We start from the raw sequence: 26,852 nt of genomic DNA, 5'->3' as shown, positions 1-26,852 counted from the left end.
CAATGTCTTCATCTGTTTTGTATGACTGTAACAACACTCGAGATTGGGTAGTTTATAAACAATAGAATTTTATTTGGCTCATGGTTCTCGAGGCTGAGAAGTCCAAGAGCATGGCCCCAGCATCTGGTGGTGGCTTTCGTGCTGCATCATTCTATGGGGAAAGATAAAGGAGCAACAGAGTGAAAGGTCCAACTTTTATAACAAGCCTACTTATATGATAACTAATTCACTCTCATGATAACATTAATCTATTTGTAAGGGTAGAGCCCTCATACATTAATCACCTCTTATTAAGTCCTAGCTCCGAAGACTGTTACATTGAGGATTAAGTTTCCAATACATGAACTTTGGGGGACACATTTAAACCATAGTAAAAAATCTTACAAGAAATTTTAATTATTTAAATGTATTTACTTTCTTTTGGTATCTATTAAAGAGAAATAAATATGCAACACTTTATAATGCATGAAGCATTAACATTCTGGCCAAAGAACTTCAAATATCAAATTAATTGTTGCTCCAAAAGGCAGCACATTGAAAAAAGAAAAAAAAACTATCTTCCCGTAACTCTGAGGAAATAATGGTTGGCCTCCTCAGACATTTGTACCTAGCTTTGTTTAGAAATTGTGATGCTCTTACAAAAAAGATAGAACTCAGGATCATTAAAGGAAGATTTAATGGAAGTTGAAGTATCTTCTATAAATCAAGTGAGGCTTTTACAGAATCATAAGTCATATTAGTGAAGGCAGCTATAACATCAATATTTTGGTTGTCAACTTAAAAATGTTGAACAGATTACTATTGGAAAAAATTATTTATGGAGCTGTGTTAAACCAAGTGCTTTCTTTCAGAAGAACGGATGGAAGAATAACAAGTTATAATTTGGGAGTTGAGAGATAAAATTTTAGTTAATAAAAAGTATATATGTAAGTTACAATGATGAATTAATTATCAAAGCTTTCAATATTTTAAATATTAATTTTATAGGAAAATCACTTTGTCTCTGGAATAGTTTATGATACATTTGGCATTCAATAAATAAACATCATGAGTGAAAATTTCACTGTTCAAAAGCTGAATTCCTTAGAGTACCAATTAAATAAATACCATAAAACAGCCGTTCAGAATGATACTGGGGCTTATTCTTCAGCTCTATAGGAAAGATGACTAAAAAATTTTTAAAACTCATTGAAAACATAACGCTCTTCAGGGCTGAGATATTTGTGCAAAAGCATTCAATTTCATCTTAACAACTTTGTAAAAAAAGTGACAGTTTATGACTTATAATGGTTATTCTGACATCTTTAAGAAGATAGAATTTATATGTAAGACTTCCTATTAAACACACAATATAAATATACTTATTAACCAATAGTATGCCATATTCCTCTTCATTTAATCTATTATCTTGTTACACACAGACACACACATGTATATATGCACATATATAACTGTATATGTGTATATGTGTACATATGTATACAAAAGCTAAATGAATACATATACACACTCACTTGGTTTCTATTTTCATGTATGGAGAAATGTGATCTTTAAAATACAATAATTAAGAATATGAAATTTTTTAAATATATAAACTAGCAGAAAATTGCAAAAACACTTTTTACAATATTCAGTTTATATCAAGCTACTTTCATATCTATTTTAATTTTTTACAAAATATTTCATTGAAAATTTATTATAAACTAAACCATCAGAAAAGTCAAAGAGGTATTTTATTATGGGTATCTTGGTAATTTGTGTACGTTTTGCAGTTTGAATACAAACAAACTACATTTGCCCTTGTCTTAGTACACCAACATACATAACAAGTATGTTCAAATATATATGCAAACATTTTACCCACACTTAAGCTTTTGTATTTGGATTCTCAGAAAATCATTTTGTTACTTCAAAATCAGATAGCTTCTGGAAGAATAAATGATGCATTGTGATCTTCACAGGCAAATGTAAAACTAGAACCAAAGTGATATTAGATAAAATTTCTTGATGTAAAAATAGGTTATGTTTAAACATTATTTTCATGAAAAGTAACTAGATAATATGGTCACTATATTTTGTTTTGTTTTGTTTAATTATTAGAGCTTAATGCAGTGTTATTTCTTAATTCGAAGTAGTGAATGTGAGACAGCATTTCAACTATATACATTTATCCAAAGATATTTTGAAAAGTAAGAACTGTGCTTTCCCTTTTGTTTAGAAGAAATATATATTGATTTCAATGATCATCCCCAGAAGAAGCATATAGGAAGATTCAGAAGAGTTTCAATAGGTTTTTTTTAGCTCAAGCCTTGAAACTGATCCAACAGTCCCATACACAGCTCTTTTGGATAAACATAGAAATTGACTCCTCCAGTCTTAAAGCTTGAAACTTACATTTATTTTATCTGAGTTTCATCCTCAAGAAACGACCCCCTAGATCTCTCAAAAAGTATCAAGGTCTGAAACTCACGAGATCACTGCATCCAGACAATGAGATACTGGGATCCCACATTTTGTTTCCTTATCACACACTAGTTCTTGTTTTCTAACAAATTATTACACTTTTTCCGTGCTGTGTGAACCCCTAATTTTAGTCCTTCAAGGAGATAGATTTGAGACTGAACTCCCATCTCCTTGGCTGCAGCACCCCGTTAAAGCCTTCTTCCTTGGCAGTGATTTTTGTCTCAGTGATTGGCTTTCTATGCAGCAAGTGGCAGGACCTACACTGAACCCCTGGTGTTTCAGTAATACCATCACAGAAAATTTCTGCGTTAGAAACATGAATTGGTGTTTTCTTTTTTCCCCCTTCTTGGCACAAGCCTAGATATAATCTGCCACCAAGGCAACTTGCATTTAGAAGAGACAATGCACTTCAGACATAATAAGCTGCAGTGGTCACTTTTAATTTCTTGTACTATCTGATAAAATACTGTATATTCACCCGACAGACATAGCATATTTGTCTATTCTTTTTGCATGAATTAAGGTCAGGAGTTCAATACCAGCTTGGCTAACATGGGGAAACCCCTTGTCTACTAAAAATACAAAAAATTAACCAGGTGTGGTGGTGGAAACAGTAATCCCAGATACTAGGGAGGCTGAGGCAGGAGAATCACTTGAACCCGGGAGGCGTAGGTTGCAATGAGCTGAGATCATGCCACTGCACTCCAGCCTGGGCAACAAGAGCGAAATTCCATCTCAAAACAAAAACAAAAGCAAAACAAAACAAAACAAAAATTCCAGAGCTGAACAAAATCTCGACCAGCTGTGCAATTCTTTCTCCTCCTTCCTCCTCCTCCTCCCCCTTTTTTCTCCTTCCTTCCTTCCTTCTTTCCTTCCTTCCTTTCTTTCTTTTGTTCTTTCTTTCATTCTTTCTTTTTCTTTTTCACAGGGTCTTGCTCTGTCACTCAGGCTGGAGTGCAGGGGTGTGATCACGGGTCACTACAGCCTGGACTTCCCAGACTTAGGCAATCCTCCCACTTGTGCATCCCAATTAGCTAGGATCACAGGTGCACACCACCACATCTGGCAAGTTTTTATTTTTATTTTTTGTGGACAGGAAATCCCCCTATGTTGCCCAGGCTGGTCTCAAACTCCTGGTCTCAAGTAATCCTCCCAACGTGACCTCCCAAAATGCTGGGATTACAGGCTTGAGCCATCATGCCTGGCCCAATTATTTTTTTGTTATCCCACTAGTTGATTGTGTAGCTTCGGTATAAACACCTTTTTAAATGATTGGAAACCATTTAAATGTTGTGATTATAATATTATAATTGTGTAGCTTTCATATAAACACCCTTTTAAATGATTGAAAACCATTTAAATGTTATGATTATAACATTATAATATTGATATCTTAATAATGCATTTCAAAATGATATACCTACAGCACTCATCAACTTGTGAGATGTGAATGGTTTTATTACCATTTTACAGACATAAAATTGAAATTCCAAGGTTAAATAACTTGTCCGAGGTTCCACACCTTGCCAATTGTAGTACTATTTTGGGATTCAGAAATTAAGTACTACCTTGCCTATGTTTTTGTATCTCCTCATTCTCACAGCTTCTGTGGTTAAAGGCATTTTTCTTTCCAGTTAAGGAAGTTGCCTTTCAAGGTACTTCAATACACAATTATTGTTCAATGAAGGTCAAAATTTCTCCTTGTACTTGTAATCACTCATCATAATTAATTCAACATCAAAATACTATATTAATAATATAAAATTAATTAATAATTACAAATTAGCTCTATATTCATTAATATTAAGGCATTGATATTTATTTCATTTTTATTAAATCTTGATTATCTAATAGCTACTGAAACAACCTACTGCAATTCCAAGTATAGTTTTGCCCACCACAGTCACTTACCAGTTAGAACTTACTAGCTCCCCAAAACTTTACTAGTACCAATGAACTTTCTTGAAGAATAATATATAACATTTATCTTTTTATATAAGACCTCTGAATTTCTGTTTGTTCTTCAGACATACAAAAAACTACCTGGTCTACATGGATGGCCTGAATTGCAATTCTTGCTTCCTGAAATAAAACATTTTACATTTAGAGGTTCTTTTCTATATTTTATTTAACTTTGACTTTCTTGTGCCTTTATTAAAAAAAAACATTTAGTAATGCTTTTTTAAAAAAAAAAAAACAACTCATGTTATGTTCTGGGATACAACCGTAAACAAGATAGATGTGATTCCTCACCTAATGAATGTACATTCTTCTGATAGTGATAGAGCACAAAGAAACAAAGAAATACTGTTGCTGAAAATGCTAGTAAGTTCTCTGAAGCACATAACCGAGGCTCTGAATAGAGAACAATGAAGCCAGAGCAGGACACGGGATGCTTTGGATCACGACTGCTTTAGATCAGGAGAGCGTATCTAAAACGTGAAGGTTGGCCGGGGGTGGTGGCTTAAGCTTGTAATCCCAGCACTTTGGGAGGCCGAGGTGGGCAGATCCCCTGAGGTCAGGAGTTCAAGACCAGCCTGGCCAACATGGTGAAACCCTGTCTCTACTAAAAATACAAAAAATTTGGCCAGGTGTGGTGGTGGCCCCTGAAATCTCAGCTACTCAGGAGGCTGACGCAGGGGAATCACCTGAACCAGGGAGGCGGAGGTTGCAGTGAGCAGAGATCACGCCATCGCACTCCAGCCTGGAGGACAAGAGCGAGTCTCAGTCTCAAAATAAAATAAAATAATAAAAAATAATAAAAAAAAAAACAGCACGGAAGGAGCCAGGCATCGAGTTAGCTGTGGAAAAATATTCCAGGCAAAGAAACTAGTAAATACAAAGAAAGTCCTCTCAATCCTGATTACCCAGCTTTCAGTACATTTCTTTTCACTATGTGAGGGTCAAAGATTGAGACTTGATTCCAGGAAGAATTTGACCAGTATTCTGTTTTCATCTACAGCTTTTCTTCTTGTTAATATATTTTTATCAATGCAGTTCAAAATAATTAGTCTCTGTCAGTATAACCATTTCTTTTCCATATTTGGGCATAATGAATACATGCATGATGTAATATATGGAGCATATACAAAGGATAACCTATATATGTATGTTTGGAGAGGAACCATAGCAAAACGGTTAGGATGATGGATTCTAGTCCCATATGGATAGAGTAGACCCAGTTGGATCTATTTAGATAAATAGAATATATTTAACTGAAATATAATAAATATAGATTAATATTTTAAAAACTTTTAATTTTAACACATTTTATTAATTTGATTTAATATAATTAATCTAAATTAATAAAATTGTATTTAAAATTCTAATTGAATTTAATTTAAATGTGCTCAAGATACATTTTCCAAGTAGTAGAAATTTTTATTTTTATTTTTTGTATTTCTTTATTTTCATTTTTAAAATATTCTACAGTGTGACTAACTCTAACTATAGGCTAGGCCAAGGAAGATACTAAAAGAAAAGTAGTAACAGCTGAGAGGCAATGGAGGGACATAACAACCCTGAAAAATAAACAACAACAGAAAAATCTTTAGTCAATAGAAGAAAAAAAGCCCATGAGGTATAATGAGACCAGAGATTCACAGAGATGGAACCCAGACAATGTAAAAACCAAATATAGAAAGCCTGTCTGTCTAGTACACTTTTGTAGTCCATATGGGTGCCATAATAAAAGTAGTAGCTTGGAACCAGGAGGTCAAAAGCTGGGGGATACGTGGAATCCCAAATCCAAATGTCTGTTTTCTATGATTTCCACATGGGCTCCTAGGAAATAGATAATGTGACTGACTTGACACTTTGAAGAAGAATTTTCAATCCAAATGGTCTTAACAACTGCATCTCATAGTCATATCACTTTCTTTTGAAATCAGAGTAGTTATGTATTATCTTTCTATGATGAAGCTTAGTATTGTAGACACAAGAATTTTTTAATTCAATTGATTATTATACAACCCCATTTAATCTTTGTGGTTAAATTGACTGCCTTTCCAAAACAAATGCTTTATTTTTGCATGGTCTTTTATTTTTAAAGACATAACAGATTTAAAAACACAAATAAACTAGTTATATTTCCCTCTTTCAAATTAATTGCCCTTCTTGTCAATACTAATGAACATTTTTCTGACTTTCACATGTATCATTCTAAATTTATTTATTTGCCAATGAAAAGAAAATCATATTTTCATTCACCTTATTCGTTTATGATCATTACTACTCTACGTTGTTTACTCCTAGATAGACACATGAAACTTTATGCTAATCATGCTCTCCTTATTTTAACAAAACATTTGTTTTTTCTCATTTAGTTACTGAACAAATTCTAAGAGTGATACAACACTTTGGGTGTTCACAAATTCAAAATTGGTATCAGTGAATCAGAAGTTGTTAAAATGGCCCTGGCTCACAGAAAACTGTGGCTCGGCAAGAGAAAGGATGAGTGGGTAGGGCAGGAGAAAACCTTTGGTACTTCGTGGACTATCTGGCCAGCCATGGTATGGAGCCACAGTTGTGCTACAAGAAGTTACTAAAGGTAAAAGTTACCATGGAATTTAGTGATGGATCAAACTCCCACAGAGCTGGTTCACTGGGCACATAGGGAAATGCAAACTAATAAGAAAACAGTGAAATATTCAGCCTCTTTGTTATTGTTTTCTGCAATAGCTAAAATGAAGTTAAAAGAGAGTGCTGGGTCAAAACTTGATGCTATACCGAGCTCATATTTCAGCCAGTCTGAACTTCGGCAAAATTCCCCGAGGGCAAATTTATGCAGGGACAAAAGCAAGTACTTCTAGAACCTGTGGTTATCAAGAAAATAGTCAATGTGAGTAAAGGACAAAACCAAGAAACATTTTTTTAAGCAGACAGGGAGGGTCTCCAGGGTACAGGAATTTAATAACCTTGAGCAATCAGCCTGTTCTACAGCCTCCTGCTTTGCAGTCTTGCTTTTTCAAAACCCTGTGTGGAATGTGGTCACCTAGTTGGTTCAAACCGGCTCCTGACGGATTCCAGCAATTTATAGATTAACCCACATAAACTTTCCTCATTACCATGCTAAAATCTCCACCCTGGGAGGGACGGGGGCTTCATTATTATAACATCTGACCTACGTGCTGGCATAACGACTCACCACATCTTCGACACTGGGACCTCTTCTCTACATGCAATGATTCACCCTCCCTCCTCTCCATCACCCCATAAAACCCTTCTGTCACTTTCTCTCAGAGACACAGCGCCTTGAATTGAATAATACTTTCAGTGTCCTCCTTACCTGTTCCAAGTAATAAAATCCCTATTGATCAAAACCTGTCTTCTCATGGAGAGTCATCTGTTACTCACTAAGTGAAGGAACCCTGTTTTTTTTAGGGGAGTAGTATATTGAAACCAGAGGGTATAGCATGAAGAAATTGTTTTATTTTGTAGATATATTTCATCAGCTTCCTCAGGAACATTTACTAAAATTGATTGTGAGACAATCTAATTTAGGAGCAGTGCTTTTGGTTTTATAGGCTGCAGAGTTGAAAGAGCATGTTTGGGTTGATGCAAACCCCACTGCTCACCATGGAACAATCAAATATAGTTACACACAATCCAGACACATAGAGGTTATTCTTGAGGGAGTTACCAGCCTAGTGGACTGAAAAAAAAAAAGCCACTAGAACATCTGTTTACCAGGAGAAGGGAGATTTTTTGACTCCCTGTGTAAATGCCAAGTGGAACGCCTTAGATGAATTAGCTGATACGTTTCACATGCAAGCTATGTGGGACTGAATTTATGGTGACCAAAATATTCACCTGCTGAATACGCCTTTTATGGCAAATGCTGTGATTAAGGTTGCCCCTTTAACATGGATGCCTCATTTAATCTTGCTGTTGCAAAACAGAAGGATAGTTTAGGAAGCCTTGTCAGATTTGTTGTTTCAGATTTCCCTCATGGATCTTACAGATGCTGCTGAAAACATTAGAGTGATTAACAAGAGAGTGGAGAAAGGCCAAAGGGAAAGTCAAAGGATTTATTCTAGAAGGTGGAAATTATTAAACAATTATGAAGACATAAGGCGTATAAAGAAGAAATTAATAAAAGTAAAAAAAAAAACATGAGTTCATGTCCTTTGCAGGGACGTGGATGAAGGTGGAAACCATCATTCTCAGCAAACTAACACAGGAACAGAAAACCAATCACCGCATGTTCTCACTCATAAGTGGGAGGTGAACAATGAGAACACATGGACATAGGGAGGGGAACATCGCATTAGGAGAAATACCTAATGTAGATGACGGGTTGGTGGGTGCAGCAAACCACCATGGCACGTGTATACCTATGTAACAAACCTGCACGTTCTGCACATGTACTCCAGAACTTAAAGTATAATTAAAATAAATAAATAAAAAAAGTTGATCAGATATCAAAAAAAAGACATTTGTTCTATGGATGCTAGCATGCATTTGTACAAAAAATACATAACACATTTAAATTCCACATACAAATCTGAATAAACGTGGAGATCTGAACAACAACAACAAAAAAGACTAATTGAAAAAAAGGGAAAGTCATGGGACTGGAAATCTTTTTTTTTTTTTTTTTTTTTTTTTTTTTTTTTTTTTTTTTTTTTTGAGTCAGATTCTCGCTCTGCCGCCCAGGCTGGAGTGCAGTGGCGCGATCTCGGCTCACTGCAAGCTCCGCCTCCCGGGTTCACGCCATTCTCCTGCCTCAGCCTCCCAAGTAGCTGGGACAACAGGCGCCCGCCACCACGCCCGGCTAATTTTTTGTATTTTTTAAGTAGAGACGAGGTTTCACCTTGTTAGCCAGGATGGTCTCGATCTCCTGACCTCGTGATCCGCCCGCCTCGGTCTCCCAAAGTGCTGGGATTACAAGCGTGAGCCACCGTGCCCAGCCAGGACTGGAAATCTTTAGATTCTTATTTTAAAATGAGATAAGTGAAATAAAATTGTGTTTATGGTGTTAAAACAAAAGTCTTAACACAATACTATCAAAGGTTTGGTGGACCAAAGGGAGTCCCTGCTGGTTCCCCAACATTAAGGGGTTCCAAAAAGTTTTGCTATGTTTACCCCAGTTTGGAGAAATTTAAAGAGTCAGAAGGCAGAGATTATGATGAGAAATCCGATCTGAAATTGCCTGGGGCAATAGTCAGGCAAATTAATCAAGATAAAGATTGATAAACAGGCCAGTGTCCTTTATCTCAACCAAAGCCTTTTTCACAAGAATGGGTAAAATGGCCTGAGGATGAAGAAGTTCCTGGGACTAGAATACAAAAAAACGTAAGGGTTTATAGTAAAGCAGTATGTTTCCCTGACTCCTAGGCAGGACTCTCAACAGGGGTGCCTCCTCTACTCACACTCACACTCTGCCCTCAACAGCTCCCGGGTTTATAGTAAAGCAGTATGTTTCCCTGACTCCTAGGCAGGACTCTCAACAGGGGTGCCTCCTCTACTCACACTCTGCCCTCAACAGCTCCCCGGAGGAAGCTTGCTAGCAAACAAGTGCGGGAACCGGAGTAAACCAGCAGTGGAAGCAGCCAGCTGCCTCAGCACCAGCGGCATCAAACTCCATTAACTTGGACCTGCTGCATTCCACCCCTCCACTGAGGGAGCGCGCAGGCGAGTGGGTGCAGGAATTGGAGCTGTTGCTTTGGGGCACTGGCAGAAGCAAACGACATTCAGGCTCCACTGTAGCATCCAGGTGTGGGTGCCTGCAACTCCCGAAGCCCCAGAGGGCATGTTACAGTGCTGTTTTTGCTCTGCCATCTGCAGATGGCTTAAGTGTTAACAGTTCAGTGGGCCCTCTGCCTCTGTGTGAGGCGGCTGCCCTCCGCCAGCAAGGGCAAAGGGCCAATGTGACAGCTTTTTGTATCTCCACCTGTGGCTCCCGCGCTCTTGTCCAACAGCCAGGAAAAATGAGGTTGCACGAATAAATTGAAGGGTGGTGGATGTGGGGGATTTTATTGTGAATGAAAGTGGCTCTCGGCAGGAAGGGGAGCTGAGAAGGAGACAGGGTCGGTAGGTAACCCTCCCCGGAAGTCTGGCTGTCTCTGGCTGGATTCTTCTTCGGTGTTAAGCCATCAAGCTGCTTCTCTCCAATGTCCAACCATAGTCCTGTCTACTGGCTGAGTCTGGGGTTTGTATAGGTACAGGATGGTGTAGGGCGGGACCATGGGTGGTTTAGGAAAAGACAACATTCCAGCAGGAGAACAGGGATATAAATTCCCACTTTGGGCCAGTTTCAGACTTTTCGGCTTCGGGGTGGGTTTTTGCTGGGTTCCTGCCGTTTTTTGCCTAGAATTTCCCTGCCCCCGTCCCTATCAATAGGATTATGAAAGTTAGAATGTTAAACAGGCTTTAAATAGAGAAGTTGTATCTCACTTACCTAAATGCTTTATGGGAATGAATATTATGTCTGACTGGGGAATATTTTCCCTACCTAGCTAGTACCATAAAATAAAAGGCATGTAAATCCACCATTCAAGCTGTATTAATTGAATGTGCTAAATGGGAACCAGTAAGATTGCCCAAGCTCAGAGAGCGTAAAATAGAAACTGGAGTGCTGGCATAAACAAATTTTCTGTTTGATAGCCCTATGTGAAATGTAAACTGCATCTTATGTCAAAAGCCTGTGAGTTCCTCCTAGTGATGACTACCGGGATTTTGAACTAGAGAATTTCCACTTGAGGTAAATTTACTACCTTGCTATTATAAAATAAAACTCTAGATTAAGACCCCAGACTCTCCGGATGAGATGGACTCCCTGTGGCTAATAGAGATGCTCTAAATTTAGAAGTAGAACCAGACGCCATAGCACAGTCAGAAAGAGTGGCCAGGCGCTGTAGGTTCTCAGACAAACATTCTGTTTTACACCTCTGAGCTGAAACAGTTCCTGCAACCAGAGCCAAAATAAATTGCTACGAAGCTCCCCAACAACCATTTAAAAGAAAACATCTGACAAAGGCTTCTGGTTTTGGACTTGGAAACCACCCAATCAGAGTTGGACTGTTTCAACAACTTAGAACAGACCAAGTTGAATACTTCATTTCCATAATAAAACTGACTGAGAACCTAAACAGAAACTTCTTCATTTTAAGCCAAACTCTCTATTTGTTCTTAGGAGCATATTTTTCTTTTATACCACAGGCTGCATTTCCCCAATCTACAGGTAATTTTTTAAAGCAAGTAAAGCTCTCTCTTTTTCTTGCAGATCTCATGGTCTTTTCTTAACATCGCTGAAGCTACCCCTAGGACTGAAACATATTAAATAATGAAACTGGAAATTTTTATGATGTCTTGGGTAACGTCAGAGAAATGCTCTAATGAGGATAGAAATGCCCAAGGAGTTTTAGAGTAAAATAAAAAATGGTTTACACAGGAGCATGCTACCTGGGGAATGCAAAGGAGAGATGTTAAGTAACAGAAAGCTTCTTTTTCTCCAGAGCACATTTTAGAGCTTCATGAGGAGTTGCTGGATTCTATCATCACTTGCACAGTGTCCTATAAATACCTCTCACCTGACTGGCAAAGAACTGCTTAGTGTGTAGAAGACAGTTCCAAAGTAAATAAACAACATTCTGTTTCAAAGGATGACACATTGATGAAAAAAATAAAAAAGTAAAAACAAGTCAGCTTGGTGGGCTGAATAGCATGCTAAAGAATTGAACAGTGACAAATGCCCCTGTGTTTGGGTTTTTACTGACTCATGAGTGGTGGTCAATGGCTTATCAACACAGTCAGAGGGGAGGACAATGGAAACCCGGCCTATTAAATGTATGGGGCATGGCTTCATGGAACTTGGAGTGGCAGATTAGAGTAGGACATTTCCATGCCATCAGAGCAGCCTCCTTCCAGGTTTGGAAGGTAATTCAAATTGATAAGCAGATATCCTCATGTGCTTCTTTGAAGTGACTACCTAGATCCATGAAATAAGTGCATATGGGGGTACTACAGCAATGCAGAGATGGGCTGAATCTGGATGTGTTCTTCTTGTACCCTCTAAGGCTCCAAATGCCAGTAAGAACTGTTCTGTTCATCAGCAAGAGAGTCAGAGACTGCACATAACTGTGGAATAGATTTCCTAGCAGGGATATCCTGAACATAGCTGGCAAGTAAGACTAATACTGGCAAGTAACTTAGCTGGCAAGTAAGACTAATGCTGGTGTCCCTGGGAGGTTACCTATGGGTCTTGACAGGAACAGACATTGATTCTGCACTGGACTTTGCTTACCTACTGGTTGATGAAAATGCTCAGAGTGCCATTAAAAAAAAAAAAAGAGAGAGAACACTAAACGTTACATGAATTTGGATAGCCAGAGGCCAATGATCATTTCTTCAGACCAAGCAACATATGGTTCAGCCAATAATGTACAGTAATAGACAAAGTGATATTTTTCTCAGAGTAATGATTTGATAGACAGGTAAAATGGGCAATTAGAACATTGGTTGTCTGAAACAAGGGGCTGTAAAAGCATAAAGGGCCGGTTTACACGCCTTCACAAGTACGTATTCAGACTCAACATGAGTTGATAAGGGGAAGAGGGAGTAGGGAAGAGGTGAGAAGAATGCTGGTATAACTATGCAATTCCTGCCAAAGGAAGAGTATGATGATATAATGATTGTACTTTTTCTTTCTTTCCCATATTACCTCACCATGGCATTGCAGTAGAGAAAGAGTTTAATTCACTTAAGTCCTGGTATATGTCCAAGAACTGGAGTTATCACTCAAATTATTTTCTCAGACTGCTTGGAAGTTAGGGTTTTATGGACAGTTTGGTGGGCATGGGGCTAGGGAATGTGTACTGCTGATTGATTGGGGATGAAATCACAGGGGTATGGAAAATGGTCCTTGTGTCCTGGGTCCACTTCTGGTTGGGACCACAGGATCAGTTGAGTCATGAGTCACAAGTCATGCTGAGGTTAGCCTGAAAATCATCTCAAATAAACTCATGTTAGGTTCCTCAATAGTGATGTTATCTATAGGAACAAATGGGAAAGGCACACATCTTTGACCTCTGGCCACATACCCCATGAAAGGTAATAAATTACAAAATCTATGCCCATCTTTGACCTCTGGCCACGTAACTCCTGAGCAGAAAAAGTGTGCAGAAACTATGTCTTGGTAGAGTTCAAACCACTCCCATAATCCCATTCTTGTGGCCTTTCATTAATCTTACAAAGGCCGTTTCAGTCCCCAAACAAGGAGAGGATCAGCTATAGAGATGGATTATTATCATCCTTGCTTTCAAATTAAACTATAAAGTAAATTCCTCCCAAAGATAAATTTGCCTATGCTCAAGAGTGGCCAACAACAGCTTGGAGGTTGGAAGCAAGATGGAGTTAACTATGCGAAAGGAAAATAAATCTCAGGGCCCTAAAATCACTAAGCTAAAGGGAAAAGTCAAGCTGGGAACTGTTTAAGGCAAATCTGCCTCCCATTCTATTCAAAGTCACCCCTCTGCTCACTGAGATGAATGCATATCTGATTTGGAGAGGCTAATCTGAAACTCAAAAGAACGCAATCATTTGTCTCTTATATACCAATGACTTGGGAGTCTCCTCCCCGATTTGCGTTGTTCCGCCTTTGCTTCAAGTTGTCCCACCTTTCCGGACCTAACCAATGTTCATCTAACATATGTTGATTGACGTCTCCCGTCTCCCTAAAATGTGTGAAACCAAGCCATCCTCTGACCACCTTGGTCACATGTCGTCAGGAGCTCCTGAGGCTGTGTCTCAGGTGTACGTCCTCAACCTTGGCAAAATAAACTTTCTAAATTAACTGAGAACTGTCTCAGATGTTCAGGCTTCACAACTATGTCAGATTTTGTACTGTAATGAATTTGCAAAGGCAGTTTCAATTGCTGAGTAAGTGTAACAGTTTAAGAAAGTTTAAGACTAATTTCCAGAGTGATTGAACCATTTTACAATCTGGCCAGCCATGTATGAAGCATGCAGTTTTTCCACATCCTCAACAACAATTGCTACCTTTTATATGGGTACTAATTTCATTCATGAGGGCAGAATCCTTATGCCTTAATGACTTCCCAAAGGCCACATTTTTAATAATGTTATATCAGAGTTAAAACTTCAACAGGAATTTTGGGGGGAACACCATTATTTGAATCATAGAACTATCCCTACATCTATTTTGATGAAGTGTTTGTTTAAATCCTTTGTCTGATTTCTAATTGGATTGTTTTCTGATAATAGACAAAGGGGACATAAGTTTGTTTGCCATCAGAGATTTCGTGTCTGCTTCAAGGAATAGATATTCTGGATTATTATAATGAAGACTGAATCTCTTAAGATAAAACATTGTTATAAGAGAAAAAAATTCAACCTCACTGGCTTCACATAGTAGGATCTGTTCTTTTAATTTATTTAAAATGAGTGTTTCTGATCAACGTGTAACTTTCCTGTAAGCTATGATGTAATGACCTAGGCACCTTTGAACTTAGGATTTTGCAAATTTCTATAGATACCCTCCAAACTCGGCATGTTTTCCTGCATTAATTGTATAGAAAGGAGAAAACATGGAGAACAATTTACAGAAATGGTAATGGTCTAGGCCTGAAGATGACATACACCCTCTGCACATACCCCACTGGCAAAAACTGTCACATGGCCAACTACAAAAGAACTTAAAGATGTAGTCCAGATCTGTGTCCAAGAAAAAAATGTTTTGTGAACTCAAAGAAACCTCTGCCACACTCCCTCTTTTCTAATTATTTATGCCAACCTTCTTCTCATACGTAGAGCCATTCAGCAATTATCACTAACACAGAGGACCCAACATCTTACCAAGCAGAGTCTATTATCCTAGGTAATCCTCAGTTCTCTCCATTAAGATGTAATATTCATGAACCATTGTCCTTTGAAGTCTGTCAAGTTTTATCTTCTCTCAATAAATATACAAAACTAATTTGAGGACAGGATACCTATCCCCAAAGAATGGGAAGAGAAGAAGGCATATAGTAATCAGTGATTCAGAGAAATCATAATATCCTGACAAGTCAACATGGAAAGTTTTCTCAGCCCTGCAAGTGGACAAAGTCCTGTAATTAACCCTATTATTACTCTCTGGGAAATACTACGTGGTCCCTTGTTTTCAGACACCCCTGGACAGTTTCCTCTTTGGCTAGTAATTTCATATTTATACATGTGTTTAGAGTTGCAGCGATGCCCCATTTGGATAGTACAACATTCACATCCTCTTTTATGTTTTGTGGCAAATTTAGAAGTAAAAAGAGATATTTTAAGCCTTAAAGAGTGAAATGTTTATTATCTTGGGTACATTGTTTTGATGGGAATGTTATTCCCTATAAATTTGCCCTTCTTCTGATCTGTATTATTTTATTTAATTTAATGTGCCAATAACTATACCTAAAGTTCTTCCTAGCATTTATTGCATCCTTAGAATAAAAAATATCATCTGCTTTAAGACACTATTATTTTATGTACTACTAAGGAAAAAATGCATGACTTATGCTTTCTTATAACTTATTTTATTTTATGTTTCTTGAAAGAATTATGTTTGACTTATTTAGATACAAATTTACATAAAACATAATACTTGTGCATAATAAAAAGAATATATGAGTAAAGTAAATTGGTTAAATTATTCCTGAGACTAATTCAAAATTAGAAACTGACTCTTCTGAATTTCAAGTCAATTTTTTATCTCCATGTTCTTTCATGCAATATTGGGATCTGCGTCATCAAAAGTGTCGGTGACATAGCATGTTTTAAGAATGTTCAAATCATGTCTTCTGCAAATTCAGGCCACAGAACCGAATCTGCAAGTTTATATGTGTATAAATGGGTAGCAATAGCCATTTCACTGTTGCCATATGGCCAGTAGAAATTAATAGGTGCATTCTAATTCCAGAAATAATAAAATGAGTGAATCTGAATTTTGCCATTGGTGAAAATGGAAATCCTCCTCCATTTTATTACTTTTGTTTTCCCATGTTCCTTTTTTTTGAAGAGAAGATTTTCTGTGTTTTACTGAAACCAGAAGATCAGGTAAATCTCCGTAGATCTGGGATTCTCTTTTTCTTGCTATAGCTTTCTAATAAAAATAAATAAATAAACACCAACACACACATTGCACATCAACCCCTTTCATCCACCTGCGCACCTGCTCCAGAGCTACAGGCTCAGTAGTTATGTGGCATTTTGCTGCTGCATAATAAGTGTTTTCACGTTTTGTTTTTTTTTTTGGACAGAGTCTTACTCTGTTGCCAGACTGGAGTGCAGTGGCAAAATCCCAGCTCACTGCAACCTCCGCCTCCCAGGTTCAAGCGATTCTCCTGCCTCAGTCTCCTGAGTAGCTGAGATTACAGGCATGTGCCACCACACCTGGCTAATTTTTGTATTTTTAGTACAGATGGGATTTCACCATGTTGGCCAGGATGGTCTCGATCTCTTGACCTTGTGATCCACCCTCCTTGACCTCCCAAAGTGCTGGAATTACAGGTGTGAGCCACCACGCCTGGCCGGTTTTTCCCATTTTTAGCATCTAATATCAATTTGCACTCACTTACTAGTTGGATGGGTTATTTATGTTCTTATCATTTAGGTATGCACCTGCCCACTTTTAATGGCAGGATCTTACTTCAAGGAACATGTTTCTAACTTAGTTAAGGATTAACATACACTAGCTGCCACTCAGTGGTTTTAGGCTGATTTCTACAAGTCTTCTGCAAGTGATGATTTGGGGCCATTTTGGGTCTTCATCTTTACCATTCATCTTTCAAATACATCATTTGTTAATGCATTAACATGGTAAAATAAAGATATTAGCAATCAGATGAGAAATATTTCAAAGATAGAAGCCTCGAAAAAGTGTTCTCTTTATTCACTGAACTAGAACTCAAACATAAAGCCAGCCACATTTAACTGCATAGAAGGCTAGAAAATATAGTGTAAATACATGTTGAAAATAAAGAAGAAATGTGTTTGACACATAGTACTATCTAACCTAAAAATCAACTGACATTAGGATACCTAGAAAAAATAAACTACCAAAAGAATAAAAAGAAAGTTCTTTAGCCACACATGGCTCTGGTATTTTGCTCATTTCTACTGAAAATAAGTAGGAAGTTTTTAATTAAAAATTATTTGTATTGAAAGTTATACATTATAATTAAGAAACAATGTAACTCTCAGGTCAAATTTTGGATTTTTCTAATTTTATAAAATCATTTTATATTCATAAAATAGAACAGTATAGATATATTTATCATCTGGCATCCTTAGATAGAAAATAATTAGACAATGAGTTTAGAAATATAACTGTACCACCTAGTAACATATACCATTTAATTTTTATGATGTTAAAACCTGAACTTTAGCTTTCTTAGCTTTCTGAACTACTTTTTCTTTGGCAGTAAGATCCCTTTAATAAGCATGGTCTTTTACAATATTTTGGAGCAGACTTCAATTCCAGTCCGGTTCAGCACATAACTATAAGAATAGGAAAGCTGGAGTCCCACTTATTTGAAATGCCTCTTTTTCCCCAAATGGCTTTCTCTGAAGTTCTTAAGAACTTGCAAACCTCTGCAAAACAGTAATGTATAATATGGTTCCAGAGAATTTGGGGCCCCACCTGAGTACAGAAAAAGAGAGAAAGCTTGGAACATGGCAAGCCTACAGGAACACCATATTTTATTTTATAGATGCTGTTTTTAGTAGTAACAATGACAGCAATGTAACAATAATGAAAATAATGTTTTCATTACTTTTCCCATACCATTGAAACTCTAACCGTTTTGAAGGATTTTGGGGGGCAATAACTTTAATGTTACATTGAATAAAACATACATAACAAAACACCCATAGATACATAATTTTCACTGGGAAAATTTACACTATATAGTATAAATATGTGGATTTAAATGTATATGTTTCTTCTATAAAAAAGTGTCATTTATTTGCCCCTTTAACTATTATCCATTCTTATAAATTCCTTCTATGAATAATGGTTAACATATTAGGAGGAAGTATATAATGCAACTTATTACAACAATTAGTACTAAAAAGTCTTTAGCAAATGTATGTTTTCTGTTTAAACATTTAGTTTTGGTCAGTGAATAGCCTTTTGCTAGCCACTACTGGAAATAAACATTATGCCATTATGAGGTAACCAATATATTTTCAGGATTATGGAATATAATACTGGCTTAAATTCATACTTTAATTGTTATACCTTAAATTTATACTTTAATTATTTTATCAAATGACATGAATGTCTCTTATTCACGACTATTAGAATTCCAAAAATCAGTGATGTTAAGACAACTCTAAGTCTCATTTTGCATATATTATCATTTTTTTTCAAAAAAGTTAAATTAGAATATGGTTCGACTTATAATAATATTTTGGCATCAGTGTGTTCTTGGCTAGAAAAAGATAAAAGTAGGTTACAGAACAAAGTGATATCAAAATATACCTAAAAATAATTTACTGGAATGCAAACATATTTCTTATACTGTCAGGAATACGTTTTTCCTCCCACCCTGATTCCCCAATCACTTCTTCAGAAACGTCTGACGTTTTCTTTGACAAGAACATAGGAACTTAGTGAATACATTTTGTTTTGGGAATAGAAGTAACTAGTCAAAAGAGGGTAGTTATTAAAAAGATTAATTTTGTAGAGGAGAAAATAAAATATTAAGTAACTAATTGTACTGTCCAACCACAGGAGCTTAACAAAAATAAATAAAACAGTTAACAAATTTCTTAAAAGGAATGATGAGTTGATTTTTCTAGTCTTTTCTCATTCTGCTCACCATTGAGTCATGGGATTAATGTAAATGGCAACAGAGTACATCAATTAAGACACAACTATTCAGAGAGGTAATAAAACATAAGTGGCAAGAGTACATGCCCTAGATGCCAACATTGAACTCATTGAAATCTTAGAATAACCTCAACATTCTAAGTTTTCTAATGTAAAACAATGTGTTTTCATAGGTTTGTCATGAAAATAAAATAAAAATGGAACTTAGGTCTGTGCCTGCCAAATGACAGTTAACACATGGTCACTACAGTAAACAAACACAATCCCAAAAATCACATCCCCATGCCTTGAGAAACAGACCTTCACGATTCATTCACGTGAAATACATTGCGAACCATTTAGAATTCCGTGAGTCTACAATTATAGCTTTGATTATAGAACAATAAAATCACTTTGGTGCAGTGAAATAGCTCCTAAAACTATTTTGATGTTGAATCATCAGTAAAAATCGATTCAGACAAAACTTCATCATGAATATGTTTACATCTGTCCTACATAATGTTATCAAATTTTGAATATTAATGGGAGAAATCTTCAATAGTATTGAAATATAGGATTGACCCTCTAATTTTTAGGATCTATTATTGCACAAATGGTAAGATACTGAGTAAATAGCAGCTTAGTAACATATTTGTAGTCTCACCTAAAATTCTTATTTAGAACATTTTGAAACATGCATATCAGTCATTCTCATGATGATTGTGCTGTTTGTAACCATGATTATAATTACAAACATAATAATTTAAAAACTTATCAAAGACCAAGTACTTTGCTAATTGCTTACATATTTCCAGGTGTATGTATTATTATTCATGTGTGAATAACTTAATAAATTATTCAATTTTATTATTAATTATTGAATTTATTACAATGATATGATTTCACTATTGCTATTGGCACTTTACACATGTAGACACAGAAGTATTTTCACCAGTTTCATAGCACTATTAAGTGACAGAGGATTAAATGCCACATCTATTGGAATTCAAAGCTGTTATTATTATTAGAGTTCAAAGCTGTTATTATTATTATTTTTTAGTCAGGGTCTCCCTCTGTCACCCAGGCTGGAGTGCAGTGGTGTGATCACAGCTCACAGCAACCTTGAGCTCCTGGGCTCAAGCATCCTCCTACTTTGGACTTCCAAGTAGCTGGGACTACAGGCATGTGCCACCACACCCAGTTAATTTTTGTATTTTTTGTAGAGACTATGTTGCCCAGGCTGGTTTAGAACTCTTGGGCTCAAGTGATCCACCTGCCTCTCAGCCCCCCATAGTGCTGAGATTACACGTGTGAGCCACTGGGCATGGCCCAAAACTGTTTTATATGAAAGTACGATTACCTGCTTGGATGGTTCTAGTCAAGGTGATGAAAGTGAAGATAACCTCTTATTCTTCTATTTTTAAAAAGAAGCTTATGTAAATAAAGAAACAGGTTGTATATGTAGAGTATATATCTTGCTATTAATATAACAGACAATAAAATTATAACTAAAAGTAATTTGAGCCATTTTTTAAAAAACAGACCCCTGTCACAACCGAGTTCTCCTATGCCTAGAAATGACCTACAAGAATGGACAGATCAGCCCAGAGAATCTGGAATTCACACTTCCTGTGCACTCGTCAATTGCTGCTCATGTGAATTTTTCATACATCAGTCAATTTCGGCTTCATTTTATAACATTATTAGTTATTATTTGTTGATTGCCATGTGCAATGGATATATTGTGATTATTATCTTAATATACATTTTGTAGAATTTGACATTGTAGATTACCTTTCCTTTTGGAAATTCTTCTCCAAAGTGATTTACAGAATATTTCTTGCTTTACTTAGGATAGACTAAGTTTCTTTAATGTAGAAATCAAAAAAGTAATAGGTTTATAAAAGATAAACATTTCTCTCCCTCATGTAAGTTCAGAGGTAGTCAATGTTCCAGGGTCAGCTTTATGAAGTTGTCCATAAAGCTAGATTTCTCCTTATTTATTATCCTACCATTTCCTTGCTGTTGTCTTCATTCAGGTGATCAAATCTGGATCACCTCTCTGTGTTCATGTTCCAGCCTGCGAGAAGGTGAAGAAAAGCCTCTTTGCAATAACATATTCTATCCCTCTACTGTTGACCAAAATACAGTCACATGGTCACATTGTCCTTTGAGGCAATTCAAAAAATACAGTATCCCGAAAGGTGGTCACAAGTCCATCTAAAATTCACAGAGTTTCACTGGCAAAAATGAATGGATATTGGGCTAAAACTAGCAGTCTCTGCTACACTCATGTTTTCATCTTTTCTTCTTAGAACTTTATGATTTGAGCGACTTTTGAAATTTTGTTTTTCTTTACTCATTCACCATAGAAGACTTTGTTTGTCCTCCTAATTCTCATTCCTTGTTTTTTTCCAACCCTTTGTGGTGTGTCTACTCCATATTTTCTGGAGGAAGTGCTAGGAATGACATTTCTTAGCCTTCATTACTGCTTGGTTTCTTTAATATTATACCATACATTCATACATGCATGGGGTTTGAAAAGTGACATTAATTAAACAAGCTTAGTTGGAGACTATGATTCTTCTACTTCCAAGGCTTCTCTTTTTTCTTCAATTTTATTTTAAGTTCAGGGATACATGTACAGGATGTGCAGATTTGTTACATAGGTAAATGTGTGCCATGTTGGTTTGCTGCACAAATTATCCCATCGCCTAGGTATTAAGCCCAGAGTCCATTAGCTATTCTCCCTGATGCTCTTCCTTCCCCCACGCCTCCCCTTCAACGAGACCCACTGTGTGTTGTTCTCCTCTCTGTGTCCAAGCATTCTCATCATTCAGCTCCCACTTATAAGTGAGAACATGCGGTGTTTGGTTTTCTGTTCCTGCATTAGTTTGCTGAAGATAATGGCCTACAACTCCATCCATGTTCCCGCAAAGGACATGATCTTATTCCTTTTAATGGCTGCATTATGTTCCATGGTGTATTTATACCGCACTTTGGGCACTTAGGTTGATTCTGTATCTTTTGTATTGTGAATAGTGCTGCAATAAGTATACATGTGCATGCATCTTTATAATATAAATATAATATAATACTACACTTTATGTTCCTTTGGGTATACACCCAGTTATGGCATTACTGCATCAAATGATATTTCTGTTCTAGGTCTAGGAGGAATTGCCACACTGTCTAACACAACGGTTGCACTAATTTATATTCCCACCAACAGTGTAAAAGTGTTCCTATTTCTCCACAGCCTCACCTGCATCTGTTGTTTCTTGACTTTTTAATACTCACCATTCGGACTGGTGTGAGATGGTACCTCACTGTGGTTTTGATTTGCATTTCTCTAATGATCAGTGATGTTAAGCTTTTTATATATGTTCATTAGCCACATGTATGTCTTCTTTTGAGAAGTGTCTGTTCATGTCCTTTGCCCACTTTTTAATGAGTTTTTTTTCTTTAAATTTGCTTAAGTTCCTTGTAGACTCTGGATATTAGATCTTTGTCAGATGGATAGATTGCAAAAAATTTTCTCCCACTCTGCAGGATGTCATTCACTCTGATGATAGTTTCTTATGCTGTGCAGAAGTTCTTTAGTTTCATTAGATCTCATTTATCTATTTTTGCTTTCGCTGCAATTGCTTTTACATTTTCATAATGAAATTTTTGCCCATGCCTATGTCCTGAATGGTATTGCCCAGATTTTCTTCTAGGGTTTTCCTAGTTTTAGGTATTACATTTAAGTCTTTAATCCATCTTGAGTTAATTTTTGTCTATGCTATGAAGGGGTCCAATTTCAATTTTCTGCATATGACTAACCAGTTGTCCCAACATCATTTATTAAATAGGGAATCCATTCCCCATAGCTTGTTTTGGCCAGGTCTGTCAAAGATCAGATGGTTTTAGGTGTGCAGCCTTATTTCTGAATTCTCTATAGTGTTCCATTGGTTTATATGTCTGTTTTTGTACCAGTATCATGCTGTTTTGGTTACTGCAGCCTTGTAGTACTGTTTGAAGTTGGGCAGCATGATGCCTCTAGCTTTGTTCTTTTTGCTTAGGATTTTCTTTGCTATGTGGGCTCTTTTTTGATTCCACATGAATTTTAAAATACTCTTTCTAATTCTGTGAAGAATGTCAATGGCAACTTAATGAGAATAGCATTGAATCTATAAATTGCTTTGGACTGTATGGCCATGTTCACAATATTTATTCTTCCTATCCATGAGCATGTAATGTTTCTCATTTGTTTCTATTTTCTCTGATTTCTTTAAGCAGTGGTTTGTAGATCTCATTGAAGAGGTCCTTCACTTTTGTTGTTAGCTGTATTTGTAGGTATTTATTCTTTTTGCAACAATTGTGAATGGGAGTTCATTCATGATTTGTTTTTTGCACATTGATTTTCTAACCTGAGACTTTGCTAAAGCTGCTTATCAGTTGAAGAAGCTTTAGGGCTGAGACTTTGAAATTTTCTAGATATAGGATCATGTTGTCTGCAAACAAAGATAATTTGACTTCCTCTCTTTCTATCTGAATACGCTTTATTTCTTTCTTTTGCCTGATTACCCCATCCAGAATTTCCAATTCTATGTTGAATAAGAGTGGTGGGAGAAGTCATCCTTGTCTTGTGCTGCTTTTCAAGGGAAATGCTTCCAGCTTTTGCCATTCAGTATGATATTGCCTGTGGGTTTGTCATATATGGCTCTTATTATTTTAAGTTATGTATCTTTAATACCTAGTTTATTGAGAGTTTTTAACATGAAGGGATGTTGAATTTTCTCCAAGGCTTTTTCTGCATCTATTGAGACAATCATGTGGGCTTTGTCTTTAAAGTCTGATTGTCAGAAACTAGGATTGCAAACCCTGCTTTTCTTCTGTTTTCTATTTGCTTGGTAAATTTTCGCTATCCCTCCATTTTGAGCCTATGTGTGTCTTTGCATGTGAGATGGGTCTCCTAAAGACAGCACACCAATGGATCTTGACTCTTTATCCAGCTTGCCATTTGTGTCTTTTAATTGGGGCATTTACCCACTTACATTTAAGGGTAATGTTGATCTGTGTGATTTGATCCTGTCATCATGATGCTAGCTGGTTATATGGATGCTTCATAGTTTCACTGATCTGTGTACTTCAGTGTGCTTTTTTAGTGGCTCGTAATGGTTTATCCTTTCCATATTTAGTCCTTCCTTCAGAGCTCTTGCAAGGCAGGCCTGGTGGTGATGAATTCCCTCAGGATTTGCTTGTCTGAAAAGGATATTATTTCTCTCTTGCTTATGAAGCTCGGTTTGGCTGGATATGAAATTCTGGATTGGAAATTCTTTTCTTTAAGAATGTCGAATATTGGCCCCCAATCTTTTCTGGCTTGCAGGGTTTCTGCTGAGAGGTCTGCTGTGAGTCTGATGGGCTTCCCTTTGTAGGTGACCTGGTCTTTCTCTCTGGCTGCCCTTAATGTTTTTTTTGTTTTTGTTTTTTCTGTCATTTTGACTTTGGAGAATCTAATAATTGTGTGTCTTGGGGTTGATGTTTTTGTGGAGTATCTTACTGGGGGTTCTCAGCAGTTTCTGAATTTGAATGTTGGCCAGTCTTGCTAGGTTGGGGAAGTTCTCCTGGATGGTATCCTGAAGTATATTTTCCAATTGGTTCCATTCTCCCCATCTCTTTCAGGTACCCCAATCAGTCGTAGGTTTGGTCTCTTTACATAGTCCCATATTTCTTGGAAGTTTTGTTCATTCCTTTTCATTCTTTTTTCTCTATTTTTGTCTGCCAGTCTTATTTCAGAAAGATAGTCTTCAAACTCAGTTTCTTTCTTCCACTTGGTTTATTCTGCTATTGATACTTGTGATTGCATTGTGAAGTTCTTTTGTTGTGTTTTTTCAGCTCTAATAGCTCAGCTGGGTTTCTCTCTAAACTGGCTATTTTGGCTATCAGTTCCCCTATTGTTTATCATGATTTTTAGCTTCTTTTCATTGGGTTACAACATGTTCCTTTAGCTCAGCAAAGTTCATTATTACTCATATTATGGAGCCTACTTTTGTCAATTCAGCCATTTCAGCCTCAGCTTGGTTTTATGCCCTTGCTGGAGAGGTGTTGCAGTCATTTGGGGGAGCTCTTCGAGTTTTCTACATTGCTGCTTTTTGAGTTTTCTGCATCATTGCCTTATGAGTTTTCTGCATTGTTGCATTGATCCTTTCTCATCTTTGTGGGCTTATCTGCCTTCATTCTTTGAGGTTGCTGACCTCTGAATGGGGTTTTTGTGGGGTCCTTTTTGTTGTTGTTGCTGTTTTCTATTTGTTTGTTTTTCTTTTAACAGTCAGACTGGTCTTCCATTGGGCTGCTGTTGTTTTCTATAAGTTCAACAAATAAAAAAATTGAAAACATGTTGTTTTATATATATATATAGATATACTGCAAAATTGGTGAATTGAGCTAATTAACATACATAACCTGACATACTTACGATTTTTTTGTAGTGAGAGCACTTAAAATCTATTTTCTTAGCAATTTGTAAGAATATGGTGTTTGCTATTAACTACACATACTATGTTATATAAGAGAACTCTTGAACTTATATCCTTTTATCTAACTGAAATTGGGTATCCTTTGACCAAAGTCTCTTCCTTCTCCCTTCCCCACTTCCACTACTTCTTTATGTGGTTTTATTTAACTGTGACAGATGTGAAAGAGATTTAATGTCTAGTCCCTAGTTTTGTGAGTACCAAAAAGCATAACATCATGCATATATTTTATGGATATGGATTGTTCCTCAGCTGCTATGGCTACAGTTATGAGTCAATAGTTTTGAGAGACATGTAGCCATCTTTGGGTAATGGCAAAGGCAATTTACTGGTAAAGACACATTTGTAGGATCCCCTGATTTCCAATGAAAAATATGGTTGGTATTATACAATGTTGGTATAGAAATATATCTGAAACACAGGAAATTCATTAGGAGCTTCCTAGTACAGTGTAAGTATGTCCAGGGATAAAATATAGTAGCTGATTATATGAACCTCATGCAGGGAAGACCTGAAAGGATTCTAATTCTTTGAAAATTTTTCAGGTTACATCATCAGTAAAAGCACCATGACAAGCTAAGGGATTGGTGAAGGACAAGAAAACATACAATGAACAATTAAAAAATTACATATACCAAATACAGTTAGTTTCATGACAAGGTCAATAAATGAAAGCTATAGAATTAACCCATACTCTTTTAATAACATGTTGTCTCTCTCTGTGTGTGTGTATGTGTGTGTAAATTTTTTCCTCTGTAATTTTATAAGAGGCATGTTGGTAGTACAATATGTAACTTAATATTCCATTCTTTGATTACAAGATAGTTAGACTGAGATAGAGGAGAAATAAACACTTGTCAAACTGGTTTCAATGACTAATGATTATTTAGAGAAGGAAGTAAGCAGTCTTATCATATTAAGTATGGTCATATTATCTTAGGTTGGAGAATATGGCTACCGTTCATTTATAGTTGAAAATTTAGAAGAAAATTGTGTGTGGGGAGGGGGGACTCCAATTGGCCAATGGTTGCAAAGTACTGTGGGAATAAAGATCATGTTACCCCACTGTCTCC

The 26,852-nt window shown here is 36.6% G+C and overlaps 1 annotated feature.

The window, feature by feature from the left end:
• Positions 9,772-10,272: an enhancer, noted in NCBI's record as "H3K27ac hESC enhancer chr21:20359825-20360325 (GRCh37/hg19 assembly coordinates)". NCBI's record gives its function as "activates a minimal SCP1, AML or CMV promoter by ChIP-STARR-seq in primed H9 embryonic stem cells {active_cell/tissue: H9 hESC(primed)}" and the evidence as "EXISTENCE:reporter gene assay evidence [ECO:0000049][PMID:30033119]".

The sequence above is a fragment of the Homo sapiens genome, chromosome 21 (genome assembly GCF_000001405.40).
Source record: "Homo sapiens chromosome 21, GRCh38.p14 Primary Assembly".
Classification (NCBI taxonomy): domain Eukaryota; kingdom Metazoa; phylum Chordata; class Mammalia; order Primates; family Hominidae; genus Homo; species Homo sapiens.
This window is presented reverse-complemented; position numbering and strand designations above follow the sequence as displayed.